The sequence below is a fragment of the Homo sapiens genome, chromosome 2 (genome assembly GCF_000001405.40).
Source record: "Homo sapiens chromosome 2, GRCh38.p14 Primary Assembly".
Taxonomy (NCBI): domain Eukaryota; kingdom Metazoa; phylum Chordata; class Mammalia; order Primates; family Hominidae; genus Homo; species Homo sapiens.
The window spans coordinates 46,744,218-46,767,897 of NC_000002.12; the positions used below are offsets into that span (position 1 = coordinate 46,744,218).

At 36.7% G+C, this 23,680-nt stretch overlaps 1 protein-coding gene across 2 annotated transcripts in view, besides 1 other annotated feature; it reads left to right on the forward strand.

Annotated features, from left to right (window-relative positions):
• The window catches only part of SOCS5 (suppressor of cytokine signaling 5), a 64,193-nt gene extending 45,281 nt beyond the window's left edge, over positions 1-18,912 (forward strand). For both annotated transcript variants that reach the window (NM_014011.5, NM_144949.3), the window contains exon 2: positions 14,302-18,912. In NM_014011.5, the coding sequence (NP_054730.1) occupies positions 14,314-15,924 (1,611 nt within the window). In that variant the 5' untranslated portion in view covers positions 14,302-14,313 and the 3' untranslated portion in view covers positions 15,925-18,912. The remainder of the gene's footprint in view (positions 1-14,301) is intronic.
• Positions 4,833-5,127: an enhancer, noted in NCBI's record as "tiled region #6790; K562 Activating DNase unmatched - State 5:Enh". NCBI's record gives its function as "activates a minimal TATA promoter and a strong SV40 promoter by Sharpr-MPRA in K562 cells {active_cell/tissue: K562}" and the evidence as "EXISTENCE:reporter gene assay evidence [ECO:0000049][PMID:27701403]".
• Positions 18,913-23,680: the final 4,768 nt, after the last annotated feature.

Sequence of the window (23,680 nt, forward strand, 5' to 3'; positions counted from 1 at the left end):
GACCTCAAGTGATCCGCCTGCCTCGGCCTCCCAAAGTTCTGGGATTACAGGCATGAGCCACCACACCCAGCCCTTTGATACCATTTTTATAGAACGTGGAATAATATAAGACCACTTATTTGATAAACTCTTAAGAAGTTGAGAGCATAACATTAAGTTGTAATTCTGGTAAAGTATTTGTGTAGGGAGCCAAAATAATACAAACCACATATATATCTTTGTGGTGAAGTAATTTGATTACAGTTAGAACATAGAAAATCAGTGTGGGTGGTGAGATATTTCCAAACTAGTTCTTTCAAAATAATAAAGACTTTTTTTTTTTTTCTTGAGATGGAGTTTTGCTCTTGTTGCCCAAGCTGGAGTGCAATGGCACTATCTTGGCTCACTGCAACCTCTGCCTCCCAGGTTCAAGTGATTCTCCTGCCTCAGCCTCCTGAGTAGCTGGGATTACAGGCGCATGCCCCCATGCCCGCTAATTTTTTGTATTTTTAGTAGAAACGGGGTTTTACCATGTTAGCCAGGCTGGTTTCAAACTCCTGACCTCCGGTGATCCGCCCACCTCAGCCTCCCAAAGTGCAGGGCTCACATGCGTGAGCCACCGCGCCCGGCTGTAATCGAGATTTTTGACCCAATTTTATTTTATGTCTATTTGTGGTTTCTATTTAGTGCTTGGGAAATAGTTGTGGAATGGTTCATCCATACTAGATCTAAGTATTGCCCCTGGAAAGTTTTATATTTTATTGTGAAAATTAGAAAATCTGTATAACAAGATGTAGAATTATCCCATTTAAGTGGATTTCCAGGATTGACCTGCAAGCAATAACAAAGGATTTTTACCCACTATGCTTCAAACAATTATGATGCAAACTGTTTAATAGTAAGTCTTAATTCATTTCAGATTTCAGAGAATGTCTTAAGAATTTTGGGGATATTAATGTAGCACTACATCCTTATCAAAGAATATTGAGAATTCTGCTTTAAACTACCAGTTCATCTTTGAGACTGTTTAAACCTGCTTTTCTTTATCTGCAAAAGAAGTCTCAATTTTAAGCCATGTTTATGGGAAATGACTATACCTTAAACTGTGTAGAAGTTCTTTTAGGGGGAGACAGGAAAGGGAAAGTTTGTGTTGGAAGAATAGCATTTCTTTGATTACATATTTTTGTAGCTGACACTACATTTACATTGTTTAAATTGAACATAAAATTGTACCTGATCAAAAACATGTCTAGCTATGGAGTATGAGACTATTTAAATAACTCAGTATTATACATTAGGATTTTTCTTTTATTTAATTGGAGAGGAGTATGATCAGAATTAGTTGTAACTGTTGTGCTATGTTAGACCTTAAATAACTGGATTCCATTTGTGGAATGCTGTGCTTATTTTAAAAATTCTAATATTAAAAGAAAAATCACAGATCTTTGAGGTTAGCTAATTGAGTTGCTTGTAGAGGAAGGACTACCTGGGCTGGCTAGAGACAGAGGGTTGTTTATCCTCTTTAACATTTCCCATGAAAGACTCTGCACAAATCTCTTTCGATTGTTTATTTACCTTTTTAACCATTTGAAATTTAATTTTTTCCTGAGAGTTTCTTTGTCTTGGTCTTTAGAAGGATTGAAGAGCGGCCAGTCAGAATTCCCATTTTTAAAGAAAGGGTCTCTGTATATGTAAAAACAAACATTTGATCACCTTCATTCTCCAGATGGCATAATTCCAACTATATTATCTCAATATTCCTAAATTATAATACCGTTAACTGTTGTTTTGCTGTACTTTTTCTTCCCAGTTTTTAAAGGGTGGAGGAGGTAGCCAGACACGGAGCCCTTTGAGTTTTTTTTTTTTCTCTGATGCTTGAAATCCTGGGATCAATATTATGAAGGATGCTCCAGAAGGGAGTGAGGGTGGAGAAAGGTAGACTGTTTAGGCATCTGATTCATCCATGCAAATGATGAAGACTGAACCTGTTAGGGGGCAGTGGAGATGGAGAAGAGGGATAGGCCCAATATGGTTGTGAAGTAGGCTATAGACTCACATTCTTATTATTCACCACTCCCCAGAGTAAGTACAAAGGCAGTGGTAACTCTAGAATATCTAGCATGTTTTCTCTCCTGCCATTTGAATCTTCTCCTTTGGAGTATAGAAATATTCCATCAGGGCCGGGTGGCTCACGCCTGTAATCCCAGCACTTTGGGAGGCCGAGGTGGGTGGATTACAAGGTCAGGAGATTGAGACCATCCTGGCTAACACGGTGAAAACCCGTCTCTAGTAAAAATACAAAAAATTAGCCAGGCGTGGTGGCGGACATCTGTAGTCCCAGCTACTCGGGAGGCTGAGGCAGGAGAATGGTGTGAACCTGAGAGGTAGAGGTTGCAGTGAGCCGAGATTGCACCACTGCACTCCAGCCTGGGCGACAGAGACTCCATCTCAAAAAAAAAAAAAGATCCCATCAGCCTGTCTCCTTTAAGGTTATATATTTTTGTTACATCTCTTTTAATTTTGGTTTCTACATGTTTGTTGTTAGTACGGTATATAGTTATGTAATTGATCTTTGTGTGTTGATCTTGTATCCTGTGACCCTGCTAAACTCACTTAGTTTACTTTTCTTTCTTTTTTAAGATTCCTTAGGGTTTGCTATGTAGACAATCACATCATCAGAAAATGGAGTTTTATTTTCTCTTTTCCAATTTGCATGACTTTATTTCTTTTTTTTTTTTTTTTTTTTTGCCTTATTGAGCTGGCTGTTGCATCTCTTTTGATCTCTTGTTCTGGCCATCAGTGATTACATATCAAGGTTGCTAGACAGATTTGTTTCTTCTGCCTAGAACAGTTTGCATGGGCTGGTGTTTTCCTTGAGCAAAGATTTTAATTACTGATTCAAAGTCTTTAACGGCTACTGATTTTTAATTTCTTCTTGAGTCAGTTTTGGTAATTTATGTTTTTCTAAAAATCTAGTCATTTCTTCTTAGTTTTTAAATTTATTTGCTTACAGTTGTTCATAGTGGTCTCTTACTTTTTTTTGAGACAGGATTTTGCTCTGTTGGTCAGGCTGGAGTGTGATAGTGCAGTCACAGCTCACTGCAGCCTTTACCTCCTGGGCTCAAGTGATCCTCCCACCTCAGCCTCCAGAGTAACTGGAACCACAGGCGCACACCACCATACCTGGCTAACTTTTGTATATAGAGGCAGGGTTTTGCCTTGTTGCCCAGGCTGGTCTCAAACTCCTGGGCTCAAGCAGTCTGTCTGCCTTGGCCTCCCAAAGTGCTGAGATTACAGGCATGAGCCACTATGCCCGGCTAGTCTCTTTTAAATCTGTTTTATATCTCCATGTGTTCCCTTTTTTATGTCTTGCATAATGTGTCCATGTAGTCTGTGGCCCTGGGCTGTTACACTTTTTAAGGTTTCTTTGTTCTTCTCTTCCTGTGGTCATTGTACTTACACGTAGTACTCCTCTATAACCACATCCCCAACCCTTCTAATTTGCAGTTTCTAAGCTGCTATGCCCTTGGTGTCTAGCAAATAAAGTTTGCTTAAATTGAAGGTCAATTTAGAGTAAATAGGCATAGAGAAAGAGCTTTAAATATTTACATCTGAGAGCTTGAACTTTATCGTCATATTGTCCACATGTGGTACTCAGCAAATGTTAAAATGAATATTTAAAAAATCTTTTCAGATTCTGAGCTTTTGATAGGTTAGGTTTAATTTTAGTTGTTAATAAACTAAAGATTTCTTGATTGTCCTATTTCTAAAAACTAAATTTGTATGTTACATGCTAATTGGTAAAACCAAAACTAAGCTGTATTACTTGGAGTTTCTAGTTGATGATTTTGTTCAACATGCTTCTCTACATTTGTTTTCTTACGTGATTAAAAGTTATCCTTATTTGCCTTTACTTCTCCCGATACCCTTCTCAAATATCCTGCTAAAGACTAATTTTAAGATGTTTCCATTGTCTTTTCTCTTTTCTTTTTCTTTTTTTTTTTTTTTTGACACAGTCTCACTCTGTCACCCAGGCTGGAGTGCAGTGGTACGAACTTGGCTCACTGCAGCCTCAGCCTCCCAGGTTCCAGCAATCCTCCCACCTCAGCCTCATGAGTCGCTGGGACCACAGATGCATGCCACTTGGCCTGGCTAATTTTAGAAAATCTTATTGTAGAGACAGGGTCTGTCTGTTGCTCAGGCTGGTCTCAAACTCCTGGGCTCAAGCGATCCTCCTGCCTCAGCCTCCAAAAGTGTTGGGATTATAAGCATGAGCCACTGTGTCTGGACAAATTTTCCTTTTTCTTATGGTGTCAGGGAGGGTAGATCCAAAAAGGGGCACGCATTGTCCTGATCAGTTTCTTTCTTTGTTTCTTTCTTGGATTCATTACAAGTTGTCAAATTATTTTCCATTAGTTTTTTTTAGAGCTAAAATTTGGCATAGGAGACAGTAGTATCTTTTAAGTTTGTTAAAGATTAGTAAATGTATTCTAAGCAGTTTTAGATAAAAAGTAAAAAAGTTGTTATTATCAAAACATTATTTTATTTATTTTAGTCCTTAGAGTCTTCATATTTCTTGTGATACTTGATCTAAACTGCTGGGGTTATAAAGTGGTTATCCTCCCTAGAGAAGGAAATGGTGCAGATTCCATTTGCTCACTTACCATTGGTAACTGAATATTATTTGTAAATTATTAGCAGAATCATAATGAGCTCACTGTTAAGTAGTTCCCCTAATCAGAGACTCTTTTCTGGATTAAGCTGTCTGCTAAATTCCTCAACTGAGAGTTGTTTTACTTTGTTGGTATTTTTGTTTATATTTAACCACCTTTTATATTAAGGGAGATTTGTGGGAAGCATTGATGCCCTGTGCTCTAGTAAGCATGATCAGTAGAGGCAGTGCTGACAGTACTAGTCACATGTGGTTATAATGCTGAGTAAAATGTTATTTACTTTACTAAGTTGGTTTGCCTAACGGAAGTAGTCTCCCTGGAGATGGGATATCAATGCAGAACTGACTCAGCAATAATCTCTCCCTAGTCATAAAACAGCCTTACTTTTTGTTACTGTCACTAACATGAACTAACATGCTTTGGATTGGTTGTATATCAGAAGCTATGATTTTTGTCGCCCTATTATATACTTAGTTGTTTTTACCTTATGTCATGTTATCCTGGAAAGGCCGAGACTTAGGTCTCTAACACAGCTAGTGGGAGCTTGAATTTGATTTTAGGTCCTGCTAAATCTAAGGCTTATGTTGTTTGTGTTATACCACAGTCTGCCAATAATGCTGGCCAAATAAGAAACATTTTGATGAATCGTGTATTTGTTAGTATATTACATAAGATATTTTCCCCATAAGAAAATGAAGCATAACCTCTTAGGATTTTAGGCTTCTCTAGTGTACAGTATCTATAGAGCAAAATTTAAATTGTGGTAGTGTTTTATAGACTAAAAAAGAATCAGAAGCCCCTCCAAATGAATAAGGACTGTGTTCCCGGACCTTACCCAGTACTGTACAGATTAGCTATCCTTAGTTTTTGTAGATGAGCTGTAGAGTCAATGGCTTAGGAACATTGAAATGTCCATAGTGTTTCTTAGGATATAATATGGAAGTTGGAGTCATGGATAGAACTTTCACTCTGGCAGATACTGTACATAGGAAAGTGACATTTGTGGCATGACCCAGAAGAACTGAAAGAAAGAAGTATTTTTTAAAAGAGAGAAAAGCTAAAGATGCTAGATAATACTGGTAACATTTTTAAAACCTCTCTGTCTTTTGAATATCTCCTATGAGCCATTTTATGTATATTATTTCTATCATCACATCCAACCCATAAGGTAGATATTATCGTCATTGTACCAAGGGGCTAATTTAGGTTCAGAAATATGAAGAAAGACATTCAAGGTTATAGGATTCTTAAATGGTAATGCTGGAATTCATCCTTTCTGCTCCTGCCTCCCAAATGTTTGATTGTTTTATTGCCTATCCGCTTTTCATTCTGGTGCCCTAAGCAAAGCATAGGCAGTATCTGTACGTGAGATTTGGGCTTAAGAATAAGATTTCTGCTAGGCTCGGCGTGCCCTCCTACGTGATACCAGAAGTTAGAATTGTGTGGATAAAACTTAGGAACTGGAAATGTAAAATTAAATACTTACTTTTTTTTTAATTAGAAAAAGAAATAGCCCTAAAATTGTCTTTTTTGGAGAGTAGGATTGCAGGGACTGTATCACACATGACTCTTAATTTGGTTCTGTGTCTTCTTTTTTCTTCTTTTTAAAAATGGACCACTATATTAATGTACAGAGAAAAATACAAGAACTTATTAAACTCCATCCCTTGAAATTAGGCATCTGATTACAAAATACATTCTTAACTGACCATATAATTAAAAGTAGTATTCAGAGAAGCAGTAGAACTTACTAATATAGAACCATTTGTTACAATAATACCAGAACATTTCTGAGCGGTATACAGGCCTACACAAGGGTCATGGGTTTAATAGTTGATAGGCATTTAAAGTACAGATACCGAAACATTGTTGGTAGGCCCATGAATATACTTGAGATTCTTTTGGTCAGAGTATTGTTTCATTACAATTAAAATAGAATAGGCTAGAAATTTTCTTTTGAGTATGCATGTGCTACCTCTGTCAACTTTTCATGTTGGAGTGATGCTGAGTTTGTATAATAATTTGAGATATATTCCATCTTTTTATGTTCTCCAATAATTCAAAATATGGATATGATGTATCCTCTGAAGTTTTAAAGAACTTAATGACACTATTGTACTTGGACTTAGAATAATTAATATACTGTTCTAAAATTGACTCAAAAAGAGGTAGAGAAGCTGAATAGACCAAATAATAATAGAAGAAATTGAAGTCCAAGTTGTTATTAATCTCTCAGATATATCGGTTTCTACATCTATAAAATTAAGATAATTATTACTCGTAGGGTTGTTGGGAGAAGTAAAATGCTTATGTCAGAGCCTGGTACATTGTTAGCCCCCAATAATGTAAATTGTCATCACAGCCATTACTGTCAAGATTATTACTCTTTTTTCAAGATTCAGCTTTTTTCCAGAGTTTTATTTCTTTGATTACTCACTTCAAAGAATCTTAGATTTACTGTTAAAAAATGTAATTGCCAGAGGTTTTTCTCTTTTGCTAGTCTGATTCCATCTCTGACATAGTTTACTTAAAAAAAAATACACTTTATAAGAAATAAAAAGGAATGTAGACACAGACATGCAAGTGTTTTTTTTTATTATAAGAGAAGATTATGTACAGGTTTTGCATAAAAGAAAACATGTGGAAAGATACTCACCAGAATATTAACAGTGATTATCTCTAGGTGGTGGGACTTCAAGTGAGGGTTAGATTTTTTAAAATATTTCTGGAGTATTTTAATTATTCTGTGTGTATATTATTTTTCTAAGAAAGTTTTCTATTTTATAACTTCATGCTCTAGTGATCATCCATTTACTTAATGCACTTAAGATGATAATCTTAGAGTATTGATCTTCAAACTGTTCCATAGAATGACTGTTAGATTTGGTAAACATAATCTTAAATGTTTTATGTAGTACATCAGGGGTTGGCAAACTATGGCGTATGGGCAAAATCTGGCCCACCACTGGTTGTTGTATAGCCCACCATGAACTAAGAATGGATTTTATGTTTTTAAATGGTTAATGAAAATCAGAAGAATAATATTTTGTGACAAGGGAAAATTATATGAAATTTAAGTATCACTGACCATAAATAAGGTTATATTGGCATGCAGCTATGCTTATTTACTTGCATGTTGCCTATGGCTGCATTCAGGCTACAGTGGCAGAGTTCAGTAGTTGCCATAGAGACTGTACGGCCCACAAAACCTAAAACATTTACTGCCTGGCCTTTTGGAGAAAATGTTTGCTGAACCCTGTACCACATTAGAGAAACCTATTTAGTTCAGTGTTTTGTTCTTTTTTTTTTTTTTCGGCGAGTATTACCACCTGAGCTCTACCTCCTGTCTAGTCAGCGGCAGCATTAGATGCTCATAGGATTCAGCCCTGTTGTGAACTGCGCACAGGGGATCTAGGTTGCGTGTTCCTTATGAGACTCTTAACTAATGCCTGATGATATAAGGTGGAACAGTTTCATCCTAAAACCTTCCATGAAACCAGTCCCTGGTGCCAAAAAGGTTGGGGACTGCTGTTTTAGAAGTCTCTGAGTGCCTCTTCTAATTCTCTACCCTTCCCCATAATAGGCAACCATTATCCTAACTTTGCTGACATCCCCTTGCTTTTGTATCTTTATTATATATGTATGTATACCTAAACAATATATTTGGGGGTTTGCTTGTTTAAAAGGTAAATTGTTTCATAATGGATATATTCATCTCTTATAATTTCTTTCTCTAAGCATTATGTTTTGAGTGTTACATTTTATATTGATACAAGTAGCTATAGTTGATCATTTCTGCTATATAGTGCTCCACTGTATGAATGTATACTAATGGACTAATTATCATTTACTTACATATCTCCATGACAGCCACAACAGCAACATTTTAAAAATTCAATTTGTTGACTGTCTTCAAACCCCTACCTGACAAAACTGTTTTATTTCGTGTTTTCTCTCTGAAACAGCATCTCTATTCATGCATTTGCCTAAGCAAGACTCCTAGTGTCATTTTCAATACCACTCTCTCCTCATTTCCCATTTTCAATTGATCTTCAATCCTATAGATTTGACATCTGAACATCTCATAGCCATCTCTCCTATCACCATCCTAGTCAGGTGCTTGCTTGGACTCCTGCAGTAGTCTTCAGTGCCATATCAGCATCCACCCTTGCTCTCTTATCATGGATTATGAGGCTTACCTCTCCAACTTCATCTTGACACACTTCCCTTCACTCACTGGGTTGTGTTAACTTCAGCCATTGTTCATGTCATGCTCATTTCTGCTTCAGGACTTTTGCAAATGCTGTTCCCTCTGCCTATAGTACATTGTCCTGATTCATTTCTTCTTATCCTTCAGGATAAAATTTTGAAACATCACCTCCTCAGAAAAGTCTTCCTTGCTCCCCAACCCCGAAACTAGGTCACGTTTCCCTGTTATCTTTAGGACTTTGTTACTTGCTACTCAATCCTGGTACTACTACAAATTTTAATTATGATTGTTAAGGAAGGCTTATCTGATTCAGTCAGAACCAGTTGTCTGTAAAGTCTAATAAAGCAATACATCATAGAAGGGATACATACCTTAAGTAGTTTATTCTAATTTTAAGAATATAACTATGTTCATTTGCCAGTCTTTTGATTAAGAAGCTGTTATCAGAAAGGGGTTCGATCCAGACCCCAAGAGAGGGTTCTTGGACCTTGCGCAACAAAGAATTCAGGGTGAGTCAATACAGAAAAGAGAAAGCAAGTTTATTAAGAAAGCACAGGAATAAAATAATGGTTACTCCATAGGCAGAGCAGCAGCATGGACTGCTTGACTGAGTATACTTATGGTATTTCTTGATTATATGCTAAACAAGGGGTGGGTTATTCATGAGTTTTCCGGGAAAGGGGTGGGCAATTCCTGGAACTGAAGGTTCCTCCCCTTTTCAGACCATGTAAGGTAACTTCCTGACATTGCTGTGGCATTTATAAGCTGTCATGGTGCTGGTGGGAGTGTCTTTTAACATCCTAATGCATTATAATTAATGTATAATGAGCAGTGAGGACGACCAGAGGTCACTTCGGTTGTCATCTGGTTTTGGTGGGTTTTAACTGGCTTCTTTAACACAATCTGTGTTTTATCAAGGGTCTTTGTGACCTGTATCTTGTGCCAACCTCCTGTCTCATCCTGTGACTTAGAATGCCTAACCCCCTAGGAATGCAGCCCAGTAGGTCTCAGCCTTATTTTTCCCAGCCCCTATTCAAGATGGGGTTGCTCTGGTTCAAACACCTCTGAAAGAGCCAAGGCCTTTTCTTTCAGAGTAGGTCTACTAGTTATAGATCCATATTGTCTGTATTGGGGAAGCCATGCCCATAATGTATCATGTAAGATTCCAGTTTGGGTTTTTTAAGTAGAACAAGAATTTAGGCTCTTCAGATGAATTCTTAGCTTAAAATCCTTATAGATCTTTACAATATTTTTTCCATTTCTTTGAACTATTTTCTTGGCCTCTACCTAATTCAGCAGCAGAAGTATTTCACTTTTATTGAGTATTTCAGAGTCATTCAACTTTATAAAACTCCCCACTCTTCCATACTTCATTAGGTTAGTTGACATTTAATTAAATCACATAGTTACACTAATATAAATGGCATGAACAGGTTTGGAACCTAACATAACTAAAAGTGTAACTCACTGCTGGGAACTGGAAGTGTCTGGGTATACTAGATTAGAGGACTGCACCTCTTTTTGAGTGTACATGGTCTACTGTATTAATATATCATGTACACTGTAATAGTGTAACTCTAAGGTTGAATTATATGTTTATTTTTTACCCACAAAATAGCAATTTTATATGGTTCAACCTAATATTAAATAACAGTATAAAGGATAAATGGCCATCCAATTAGATAATAATAGATCCTGTCACAATATGACGTGTAAATAACAATTAAAAATAAATCATTTTTAAAAGGCCAGAGGATTCTTAGATTATTTTAAGAAGCTGTAGTTATGACAGCCACACATTCCTGAAATTCTGGGTCAGTTTTACTGTCAAACGTATTATCTTTTTCTAAAAATTATTGAAATGCCACCAAAATATCAATCAAAACTTGTCTCCTAAACTGCCTCTTGTGCCTGAATTTGATACAGAAATACTTTTAATCAGTCTACCTGTCCCAATTTTTGTTACTGTAACTGAAGGACTTTCTATTGGAAAGGTGTTACAGCTGAGAAGTCTAGATAGACTGAAGAAGAGGAAGGATTTGAGTTGTCACATTCTTCGTCTTTATGGCATTCAGCATTAAGAATATAACTGTTATGTTATAACTGTATATTTTAACAATATAACATAATTAGGTAAGTATAATAGTTCTCTCTCAATGTATTCTTAAAACATGTTAAACTTAATTTATTTCTCATAAAGCATGGGTTAAGTCCCATTGAAATAAACTCCTGGGAATTATTTCAATTATTTTGTTTTGTGTAAATTTTGTAATAGATACTAGTTGGCATTAAGAAGGACCATTGACTGTACTATTTCATTTTTATATATGTAAACTTATGTAGTGATAGAATTTGACCTAATTTTCCATAATTCTAATTTGTAGCTTATCCAGTTAAATATAATTTTTCAACAAAAGCTATTTAACTTCCAAAAGCATTATAAAATCAGTTTTAAATTATTATTCCTTCGAGGAAAGAATAACTTTTTAGAAATTTGCTTTGGATAGTTTTAAGAACAGCTAAGCATGTGTAGAAATGTAAGAGATTGTAATGGATGATAAACTTTTATTCTAGAATCAATGCAATTGAAATTTAACGCTTTTTTTAGCCCTGTATAATTTCATATAAAACCATAAAGTAGTAGAGTTGTAATTTAGATCTCAAAGGGTTTCAGCTCTATCTTAAAAACATTTCTAAAAATTTAACAAAACAAACAAAAGAACTTCGAATCTGACATTGTTAATACCAAGATAGTTGAAATGCCTTCCTGATTGTTATGTCGACTAGTCTGTGAATTACTGTCCGTATTTTTTCCTTCCTAATATTAAAGCTGCCCACATCACATTTCACATGTCAAGAAAAATCAACTATCTTTCTCCATGGAGTAAGATGCAGTCTGATAACATGCTCCAGAATAAGAATAGAGAAATAACTAAATTTCATGCTCTGTGAAACTGAACCAGGGGGTTCAGTGTTAGAAACTGCATTTTGTGCCCTGGCAAGTACAAATGTTTTCTGCATATCACACTAATTCATACAACTTATAAAGAACTATATAAGGAGATGAGTGGTTTTAGGTTAGGTCACTTTTTAAAAGTTATTTTTTGGGTATAATTTGCATGTCAGAGAAGTATCTTTAGATAGCTACAAAATTTATAAACACGGAGAAGAGAGTTAAATTCTTGGACTTCTTGAATATGGCTCTTCTAGTGTCTAGAGTGATGTGGTTTATCTTAAATAGGTGGATTAGGGTCAGTAAACTTTTTCTGAAAGGGGCTAGATAGAAAATATTTTAGGCTTTGCAGACTACATGTGGTCTCTGTCAGATGTTCTTCGTGTGTGTATGTTTAAATGTAAAAATTTTTCTGAGCTGGGATCCCTTCAAAAAACAGGCCACAGGCCAGATTTGGCCTTCAGGCTTTGGTTTGCTGGCCCTTGCTCTACATCAGTAATGTTCAATACAAATATAACCTGAATCACATATGTTACTTTTAAATTTTCTAGTAGCCACATGGTGGGTGGTGCTGTTTTTTGTTAAGAGTCTTGTAGTGACATTTGACCTTGAAACTACAAATATATGAATTAGGTAAAAATAAAAACTAATTTTAAAATAAATGAGAAGAAACTAGGCTAGAAAGGGGCTAGGATATTGGAAGAGAACATCTACAAAGATAATGGAGTCACCAAGAATACGGCAGGAATTCGACTGTATTAACAGGACTATGGGCAAGGAACGGAAATCTTAATTTAAGAAGAAGAATAAATGATAACAAGGCACGTGAAGTTCAAATGGCGTAAACCTCATAAAAAATGCTTACGAGAGAGATTTTTGCAAGACAGAGGAGGCCGTGTTCTAAAATAGACTTTACTGAGATTTAACAGTTCTGTCTAATACATTTTATTCTAATATATACCAACTACTGTACAAACTTCCTATGTGCCTGACAGTGTGCTTTTAATAAAGAATTAAATCATCTGAAAGTACATTTTATAATATCATGGACATTAATTTTCTGTGTTGTGTTTCCATTAGTCCAAGAGCCTTTTCTGTGAGAAACTAATGGGAAGACCTATAATTCATTCTAAGAAAGTTTATTCTCTGTTATTCTCTTATTCCTAGTTAACTTCTTGAAAATATAAGCGTTTATGACAAAAATAATTAGTTGAAGTTATGGCAAGATCAGCTAAAGTTTTCTGCTATCATAATGTGACAAAACCAATTGAATTTTAAGTTTAGGTTTTTCCATTTCTTCTAATGTTGACTTTTAGCTACTGAACTAGACAGTGTGCCTGTTGATACTGTAGTCTTAAAAGAATTTATTTGTAAAGTATCATACACTGCTTTAGATTTTTTTTTAAGGAACAAGAATAAAGATGCCAAATTGTATGTTTTTGGTTTTTGTTTTTGCGAGTACTACAGTATCATAGCCTTTCTCTATTACTTTATTACAGTTTCCCAACTCTTCCAGGATTAAAGAATTGGGAAGTTTAAAGACACCTTTCCTGGCCGGGCATGGTGGCTCACACCTGTAATCCCAGCACTTTGGGAGGCCGAGGCCAGTGGATCACCTGAGGTCAGGAGTTTGAAACCAACCTGACCAACATGGTGAAACCCCGTCTCTACTAAAAATACAAAAATTAGCCGGGCGTGGTGGTACACGCCTGTAATCCCAGCTACTCAGAGGCTGAGGCAGGAGGATCATTTGAACCTGGGATGTGGAGGTTGCAGTGAGCCAAGATCTCACCATTGCACTCCAGCATGAACAACAGAGCGAGACTCCGTCTCAAAAAAAAAGAAAAAGGAAAAAAGACACCTTTCCTAAATATTACATTCTTTTTCTTTCTTTTCTACTCAAACTGCTTCTTCAAAATCATGGATAAATTTGATACATTATAGGGTGGGAGGGAAGATATGGGTTTTTTATAAGTGATGAACACACTGTAAACCTTAGAATTGCAAGGAACCAGTTAAGTAAAATTGGGAAGATTGCTACTAATGAAAGGTTTTTGAACTAATTTTAATGTGTTACACAAATGTTCTAGTTACAACTTTTGAAAAGTTGAATACAAATGTGTTTCAACAATATGGAACATATTTTGCCTTTGTAATATTCAAATTAAGGAAACAGGTTGAAGCACGGGAAAAAGAAACCAGAGTTTAAGAGCGTTTATTTTCTTTCACCTGAGTTCAGAATATTCTGCCTGAAAGGACTTGGGAAGTAATGACTGGCTTGAACAAGGTCAGTGCCTAAAAGGCCCGGTGGCCTTCCTGCTGCCCAACAGAACACACGGCCTCATCACTTCAGCAGGGCAGCGTAGGTGAACGCTTGGCCAGTATCACTGAAATTCTGGACGGGAAGGGGTGTGGGCACTGCCTTAGCTACCTTCACATGCTACTTTGATTAATTTATTTTTCTCTTTTTGCTGTTTTGTCTTTAGATTTTATAATCAATGGATAAAGTGGGAAAAATGTGGAATAACTTCAAATACAGGTGTCAGAATCTCTTCGGTCATGAGGGAGGAAGCCGTAGTGAAAATGTGGACATGAACTCCAACAGATGTTTGTCTGTCAAAGAGAAAAACATCAGCATAGGAGACTCAACTCCTCAGCAACAAAGCAGTCCCTTAAGAGAAAATATTGCCTTACAACTGGGATTAAGCCCTTCGAAGAATTCTTCAAGGAGAAATCAAAATTGTGCCACAGAAATCCCTCAAATTGTTGAAATAAGCATCGAAAAGGATAATGATTCTTGTGTTACCCCAGGAACAAGACTTGCACGAAGAGATTCCTACTCTCGACATGCTCCATGGGGTGGGAAGAAAAAACATTCCTGTTCTACAAAGACCCAGAGTTCATTGGATGCTGATAAAAAGTTTGGTAGAACTCGAAGTGGACTTCAAAGGAGAGAGAGGCGCTACGGCGTAAGTTCTGTACACGACATGGACAGTGTTTCCAGCAGAACTGTAGGAAGTCGCTCTCTAAGACAGAGGTTGCAGGATACTGTGGGCTTGTGTTTTCCCATGAGAACTTACAGCAAGCAGTCAAAGCCTCTCTTTTCCAATAAAAGAAAAATCCATCTCTCTGAATTAATGCTTGAGAAATGCCCTTTTCCTGCTGGCTCAGATTTAGCCCAAAAATGGCATTTGATTAAACAGCATACAGCTCCTGTGAGCCCACATTCAACATTTTTTGATACATTTGATCCATCTTTGGTTTCTACAGAAGATGAAGAAGATAGGCTTAGAGAGAGAAGGCGGCTTAGTATTGAAGAAGGGGTTGATCCCCCTCCCAATGCACAAATACATACATTTGAAGCTACTGCACAGGTTAATCCATTATATAAACTGGGACCAAAATTAGCTCCTGGAATGACTGAAATAAGTGGGGACAGTTCTGCAATTCCACAAGCTAATTGTGACTCGGAAGAGGATACAACCACCCTGTGTTTGCAGTCACGGAGGCAGAAGCAGCGTCAGATATCTGGAGACAGCCATACCCATGTTAGCAGACAGGGAGCTTGGAAAGTCCACACACAGATTGATTACATACACTGCCTCGTGCCTGATTTGCTTCAAATTACAGGGAATCCCTGTTACTGGGGAGTGATGGACCGTTATGAAGCAGAAGCCCTTCTCGAAGGGAAACCTGAAGGCACGTTTTTGCTCAGGGACTCTGCGCAAGAGGACTACCTCTTCTCTGTGAGCTTCCGCCGCTACAACAGATCCCTGCATGCCCGAATTGAGCAGTGGAATCACAACTTTAGTTTCGACGCCCATGACCCGTGTGTATTTCACTCCTCCACTGTAACGGGACTTTTAGAACATTATAAAGATCCCAGTTCGTGCATGTTTTTTGAACCATTGCTTACTATATCACTAAATAGGACTTTCCCTTTTAGCCTGCAGTATATCTGTCGCGCGGTAATCTGCAGGTGCACTACGTATGATGGAATTGATGGGCTCCCTCTACCCTCAATGTTACAGGATTTTTTAAAAGAGTATCATTATAAACAAAAAGTTAGAGTTCGCTGGTTGGAACGAGAACCAGTCAAGGCAAAGTAAACTCTCCGGTCCCCAAAGGTTGTTAACTAGGTCCGCTTTCATGTGCATCAGACAGTACACCTATAGCAAGCACACGTAGCAGTGTTAGGCTTTTTCATACAGTATGTAAGCTTAGTGTTAGTATCTGTCAGATGCTACCTGCTGTTACTTATTCAGATAAACATGGTGCCTATTGGAACAATAGCGGATAGAGCTACAGGTGTTCAGTAAGACTACAAAAACATTTTGCCTATTTCGCTAACAGTTTGGTTTTTAATGGCTGTGGTATTTGAGTGAGGCAACTCTGGGGCATTTGTTATGAAGAATTCTATTTCTTACTGAAGAACAAATTATTAATATTGGATGAGTATTTCAACAGTGTGACTAATGTTTGAAATTATTTTTTCTAAGAGTTTTTCTATAACCTTCCAAAAGTCGTGATGTTTGTAGTTACTATAAATCAAGCTTTGGAAGTCCAAAAAGAATAAAAGACTGCCTTCCTTTTAGAAAAAAATGCAATTTTCTGGCCACAAGGGCATAGTGCAGTTCACTTACGTGTTGATGTAGTTTATAATCAGACGCCTTTTCTCTTCTGCAAAAGGTACTGTTAAGTAAACCAGATTTTCTAAATAGGCATTCTTAAAATTTCAGACTTACAAAGCTAGTAGTAGAATTTTATTGAAAGGCCTAGGTATTAATTTTTTAAATGAGTGCTTTAACTTAAAACAGGCGTTTGGAATAGCTGCTGCAATGTAGTCTTGTGTGTGATTTTTTTTTAAGTTGATGTGCAGTCTAATTGTTGTTTCATAAAAGTTGGATCTGTTCCTATGCCCAGGATGATTTTGTGAACCGTGAAGTACGTGAGACTAGAAGACGCCCAAACAAGTCAGATAATAGTAACTACAATGGTTGCTGATGTTGAGATTATTGTTGAACTATAATTAATAATTTGGATGGCAGAATTTATCTCTTTTTTGTAAACTCTCATAACTGAATTGCTTAAGTATAATTTATAGAATTTCAGTGCAGTTCATTCTTAATGGAAAATCTGAAACCTAAATTGCAGATTTAAAAGGTACTGTACAACCATTATATCTGTAAATAACTTAGCACCTTTTTGTCACTTAGAATAATATGTACTACTACTTGAGTGAGCGCTTTTGGAAGTTATATCAAGTTCTAGTGTTTGCTTCTTAGTAACTGAACTGAATTTACAGTTCTGTCCTAGACATTTTGCACTAAAGTAGCCGAATCCACTCTCATGTCTTTTCGTTAATGTGCTCTGTACCACTGGTGAGTGCTCCATAGTTTCCTTACCTGCTGCTACAGAATGTTATTTTACATCCCTATGGCTATTGCCAAGGCTACAAAAAAGGAAAGCTATATTTGTATGCAACACTAACCTTTTGACTGCTAATGTATGTTTCTGCTTGCTGTGCCTTGTTATGGCTGCTTTTTTTGTGCTAATAAAGTATGTTTGGTGTTCTCCTTGTATATCTGCTGTTTTATACATTTGCAACAATTTCTCTTGTAAATGGAATGGTTTGGGGTTTTTAAATAAGCATTAACTAACAACCTTTCTATAGTTAATGCAGAGTTAATGAACAGTCTAATATTGACTTATCAGAATAAGCTAACTCTAAATTTAATGCTCTACATCTTATCAGTCATAATTATATATACTGTGGAACAGTATCTGTAGTTACTGCAAATTACTGTACAGTTTAGGTTATAACAGAAAACTGACAGAGAAGTAATAAACCTATTGATTTCTCTGCTTATAAATGAAAGATTGAAACTATCCAATGACATATTATAGTAAATGAGTATCTGTAACCTCCCACTGCATCAGAAGCAGGTTAAATGAAGTCTTGTGAATTTGTAATAGATCAGTACCATTTATTGGTTTGGGGACCATCTTAATTAAAAATAAATGCCCAAAATGTAGAACTTTAACCAAAGACTTGTCCCTTTTAAAGCAAAATGGGGATTGAAGGGACTTATAATTTCTGTTGTTTCTAATTAAAGTCCCTGAAGATCATATACCAAAGTGTTTGAGAACTTCATCCAAACCTACTTTAAAGCATTATGTGCAATTAAGTTGTTATGACATAATTATATTGCCTAATTGTTGGGTCTTTTTTCTTGAGCTTATAATGTACCTGGAAAATAAACCTCTTGAGAAAAAGAAAAGTTCATACTGATTATTGGAAAAGGACTATATATGTGAGCAAGATTGTGTTTTAGAGAGGAAACTTGAAACTCCAAGAAAGCACTTGATGTTTTTATATGCTTGTAGCAAATTGATGTTCTAACTGTAGTTTTATAGAAAGTATTAATGCTTTTATGTATTTCAAAACTTTCATATGTTAAATGGAAATTGTTTTAAATGTGTTTGAGTTTATGTAAGCATGTATACACTGTGCTAAAAGTCACATGTTTCAGTTTGTGTATAATATTAATATGCAATTTTTGGTTTAAATTTTTGTCTTAAAATATTAGTGGCTTACATTTTAAAAAAGAAAAATCACCAGCATGAACTTGCACCTAAGTCTATATTCACTGTGTCCTTTTCTGAATCCCATTGTAGCCTGTCAACTAAATTTGAGTGTTAACGGTCTTTTTAAAGTGCATTTAAATACAAACCAGGAATTTCTTTAGAAGTTGAGATACATCTTTATAGTTGAAATAATTAACCCAAGAAAAGGTTGCTTTGATTTGTACCCATTCTCATTCATTTTCTTCATTCCCTTACACACACACACACACCTCTCCCTTCCGCATACATATAAGTGTGTATTATATATTTATGTATGCACATATATACATTTATGTTGTTAATATTACTTTAGATGGCATTTCCACCTGATACAAAAACATTTAGAGATCTTATTCTATAGATATTACCTAAAGAGTATTCTTGTACTATTCGAATTTTATTATCTGCACTAAAAGTTTAGCCTTGCTACTTTAGCCTTGTTTATAATACAGTCACCTTACAAAGAGAAAGAGTTCATCTGTATTTTGTTTTCTGGCTAAACACAGTACAAAATATTTGAAGAAAAACAGCTTGGATTAAATAGTTACTAAGAGTTATAATTAAATTTATGTTTCTTAGACAAAACTTGAGCCCAAATAATCATTCTCCACACACCAGGCTGTTTTTAGCTCTTATGTTTACGTAAGATTTATAATGGCTAGAACCGTAAGAACTGATACTTGAATTTTAAGCTTCATTTGACAAAATCGAAAGCTTAAGAATTTTTTTATTTCACATTTTGATCTGGTTGCTATTTATGTTTATTTCAAAGCTTGCTTTTCTCTCTGGCACTGAACACTAATTTGGTGAGTTTTATTGAGACTGGTCTTAGATCTCTTATTTTTATAGCAAATACTGCTTTTTGGTAGAGCCAAAGAGCCTGTGAGTGAATCAGGACCCTCCTTTTTTTTTGTTTTTTTTTTTGTTTTGTTTTGTTTTTGCGACAAGAGTCTCACTCTTGTCACCCAGGCTGGAGTGCAGTGGCCCGATCTTGGCTTACTGCAACCTCTGCCTCCCAGGTTCAAGTGATTCTCCTGCCTCAGCCTCCTGAGTAGCTGGGATTACAGGCGCCCACCACCACGCCCGGCTAATTTTTGTATTTTTAGTAGTGACGGGGTTTCACCATGTCAGCCAGGCTGGTCTCGAACTCCTGACCGCAGGTGATCCACCCACAGCCTCCCAAAGTGCTAGGATTACAGGCATGAGCCACCGCGCCTGGCCATAGGACCCTCCTAAGAAGGATGCAGAGCCAGGTCTGTCTTTGAGAGTGTTAACATAGAGCAAATAGCACCAGTTTGTTTGCTTACCTGTACCCCAGCACATACAGTTTTACTTTGATGAAATTAGATAGAAATGCATAGCAAGGGCTGACTCAAGGGTGAGAAAGTTTCGAAAGAGGGCAATGCTGCTTGGCCCGTGTGCATACAAGCTACATATTTTTGAGGCTCTGGTTTTGTTTTATAATTTTGCAACAGCTGATCCAGAACATAGGCTTTTAAAATAGTATATTCTAAAGAGGTTTGGGGTGGAATTTTTGTGGGAGGTAGCTGGTTATTTGTGGGGGACGGGAGGAGAGGTTGCTATTGCAAAGTATAGATGAGTTGGAGCAACTGTTTTGTTTTCATGCCCTGGACGCTTGATTGAACATTGAGACTCTCTTCAGCCATGCAGTCAACAAATATTTATTGAAGACCCGTGTGCCACTCACTATTTTCAGTAATGGGTGTACATTGGGGTATAAGACAAAGCTTTACTGCCTTCCAGAGTTTATTGAATTCTAGTAGATAAGACAGCAATGAAATGGTAATTTCCGAAGCTATGAGTAAAATGAGGCAGAACATGGTGGTGGAGGGACTGGGGCACAATTTTATAGGGTCGTAACCTTGAATGATATAAGAAAATTAGACCAAGACCAAAGAACAAACGTTCGAGATGAAGAGAACAATAAAACTAGTCCCCAAAGCACATATGGAATTACTCGCTGAGAAAGAAAGAATGCCAGTAAGGTAAGTCCATTGAGTGTGGAGAATAGTAGGTGATGAGGTTTTAGAGATTGGCAAGGGCCTGACCATTTAGGGCTATAAGCCTATAGTGAGGGATTTAAGATGTTGTTTTGAGTGTGATGGGAAGCCATTGGAGAGTTTTAAGCAAAGGAGATGTGTGGTGTGTTGTAAATTTCTCTGGTCAGTGGAGAAAAGACTAGTGGAACAAGGTAAGGAAGACTTTTACAGTCATCCAGGTGAGAGATGGTGGGACCTTGGACTAGGGTGATAGTCATGGGGAGAAGTCAGAATTGGGGTATGTTTTAGTGGTAAAGCTGATAAGACTTGGCGATGGATTAGATGTGAACAAGAAGAAAAAGATCAAAAGATGACTCCAGTTTTTGGTGTGAGAAGGGTGATTGAGTTTTGAGATTCCTATTAATAATTCTAACAGAGACATTGCATAGTAGGCAGTTGGATATATGAGTGTAGTGTTAAGGGGAGAAAATTAAAATGTGGAATCACTAGGCCAGGCATGGTGGCTCACACCTGTAACCCCAGCACTTTTGGGAGGCCAAGGCAGAAGAATCACTTGAGCCCCGGATTTTGAGACCAGCTGGGGCAATGTAGCAAGACCCCATCTCTACAAAATAAAAATTAGCTGGGTGGGTTGGCATGCGCCTGTAGTCTCAGCTACTTGAGAGGCTGAGGCAGGAGGATCACTTGAGACAGAGCCAGTTCCTTCCTCTAAAAAAATACTAAAAATGAAATGGGGAGTCACTGTATTGATAGTATTTGAAGCCACAGAACAGTATGCAACAGCTAGGGATTTTGCATGGGATTAAGAATTTCTTTGGAGGAAATAATTACGACAACATTTCTCTTAGTTTGTCAGTTCAAGATTCTGTATCATTAGTTGTTTTTAAAAGCCATCTGCTTTCGATAGAGGACTTGTCTTCCAAAAACTTTTAAGATACTGGAATCAAACCTTGCGCTGAATCTTCATACTACCCACATCAAATTTGGTTGTCATGCTTTCCATGTCAAATTTGCTTGTGTATCTTTTTTAGTTTGAGTTTTTATATGATAAATCAAAGTTCATTATGGAATATTCAAGAAGTACTAAAGATTATAAAAGAACCTACGAAAAAATGTTCATACTGTTGACTGAATATTTAGACTCTGACCATTCATTCCACAAATATTAATTTGAAGACCCATGTGCCAGTCACAGTTTTAGGTAATGGGTATATATTGAGGTACATTACTACCACCAACACTACCCCTGCCCTTTCCAACTCCCGTTTTGAAATTTTCCAGAGGTAACTGCTATTAATATTTGGTACATTCTCTTTCATATTTTTTCATGTATTTTTGACAGTTAAAAAAAATCACATGAAAGATAAAGTTGTACATCTTGAGTCAGTTACTGAAGGGTTTTTTTGAAATAGGATTTCAGTAGAAGATTAAGACCCTTAGTTGACTAAGTTTATAAACTGGTGGGGATGTAGGCAATTATGTAAATGTATAGTTATGAGAATATGTGGAAATAAAGTAATTAAGTAAAAACTGGTTTCACTGGTGATAAGGAAAAAACAGAAAAGTGACCCAAGTGGAGTAGGGTTGATTGGGAAGGTATTGGGTTTCTTTTATCACGAGAATGAGAATTTCATTTAGCAGAAGATGATGGAGAGGCCAGGTGCAGAAGTAGAGTGGCAGGTAGCAACAGAAGAGGAGCAGGATTGAGGTGGAGGAATCAGGTGATTGTAGCATACACTGGACTGAACAGTGTGAAATTATCTAGGCTCTGCAGCAAGGAAGAATTAGAAATTATGGCAGCAGGTGTAAGATAGCGTATAACCAAGAGGGATTGGAGTTAGGAAGTCCTGTGAAATTTGCCTAGATCAGGTCGCTAGCACTGGAATCAAACAGGAGCACATGCAGAAGAAAAATCAGCATAATTTTCAGTAAGGAAAAACAAGCAGTTCGCATGCCTAGGAGACTTCTAGTTAAATATGTCATAGTTTCTCCAAATTTAAGCAAATCATAAGCCAACAGTAAAGTAAATCGTAAACTTACAGTAAAGTAAAACATGTATATTGGATATTATGGATATCCAATTATGGATAACATTTTAGAATACATTTTAATGCAAAAAATAAATATTTGATCAAATAAGGAAAACTTCATCACTACTAACTGCTTACATGGAGAAAATAGGATGACTTTTCTATGGATAACATTTTAATTATGGATAACTTTTTAAAAGGCACATTTTAATGCAAAAAATATAAGATTTGATCAAATAAGGAAAACTATCACTGCTAACTATGCTTACGTGAGAAAATAGGAACATAAAAAAAAAGCAACATCAAAAAAACTTTTACTTGACAAAAGTGCTGAGAAAAAGTGGCACAATCTTAAATCTTAAGAGAGAGTTACTGAATTTAATCCCCAAAACACTATTATAATTGTAGTTTTTCTCATTTCTCAATTTTACTAAGTATGAAAACTGCTTTGAATTTTTTTAAAATTTATTTTTATTTTTGTTTTTTTTTTTGGAGACAGAGTCTCCCTCTGTCACCCACACTGGAGCGCAGTGGCATGATCTCGGCTCACTGCAACCTTTGCCTCCCGGGTTCAAGCAATTCTCGTGCCTCAGCCTCCCGAGTAGCTGGGATTGCAGGTGTGCGCCACCACGCCCGACTAATTTTCGTATTTTTAGTAGAAATGGGGTTTCTCTATGTTGGCCAGGCTGGTCTTGAACTCCTGACCTCAGGTGACCCGCCCACTTTGGCCTCCCAAAGTGCTGGGATTACAGGTGTCAGCCACTGTGCCAGCCCTTATATTGTCTTTGTTACCTGGCTTAGAGGGGTTAGATAACTTGTCTAAGGCCATAGAGAATGTTAGACCTAGTTTTCAAACACTGGTCTGAGGCCAGAGCCTAAGTGCTGATCCACTATACTTTGCTCTTTGAATTCTAATTGTATCAACCAAATTAACATTTCTTTCAATGTTTTGTTCTCTTTTATTGTATTTCAAAACAATAGGCTATACATAACTGATAAAAAATGGATTCTAAACCATTGGTAAAAGAACTGAAAGAACTGGCCACTAGAATCTCCTTCATTCATCTTCTGCAGTTTATTTGGGGAGTGCCCCTGCCGATTTCTCCAACCTTAATCTAGTACAACTATCCCCCTTACTCACCACTCTCCTGACACTGGCCGCCTTTCAAAGCTCCCTCATTCCAGTA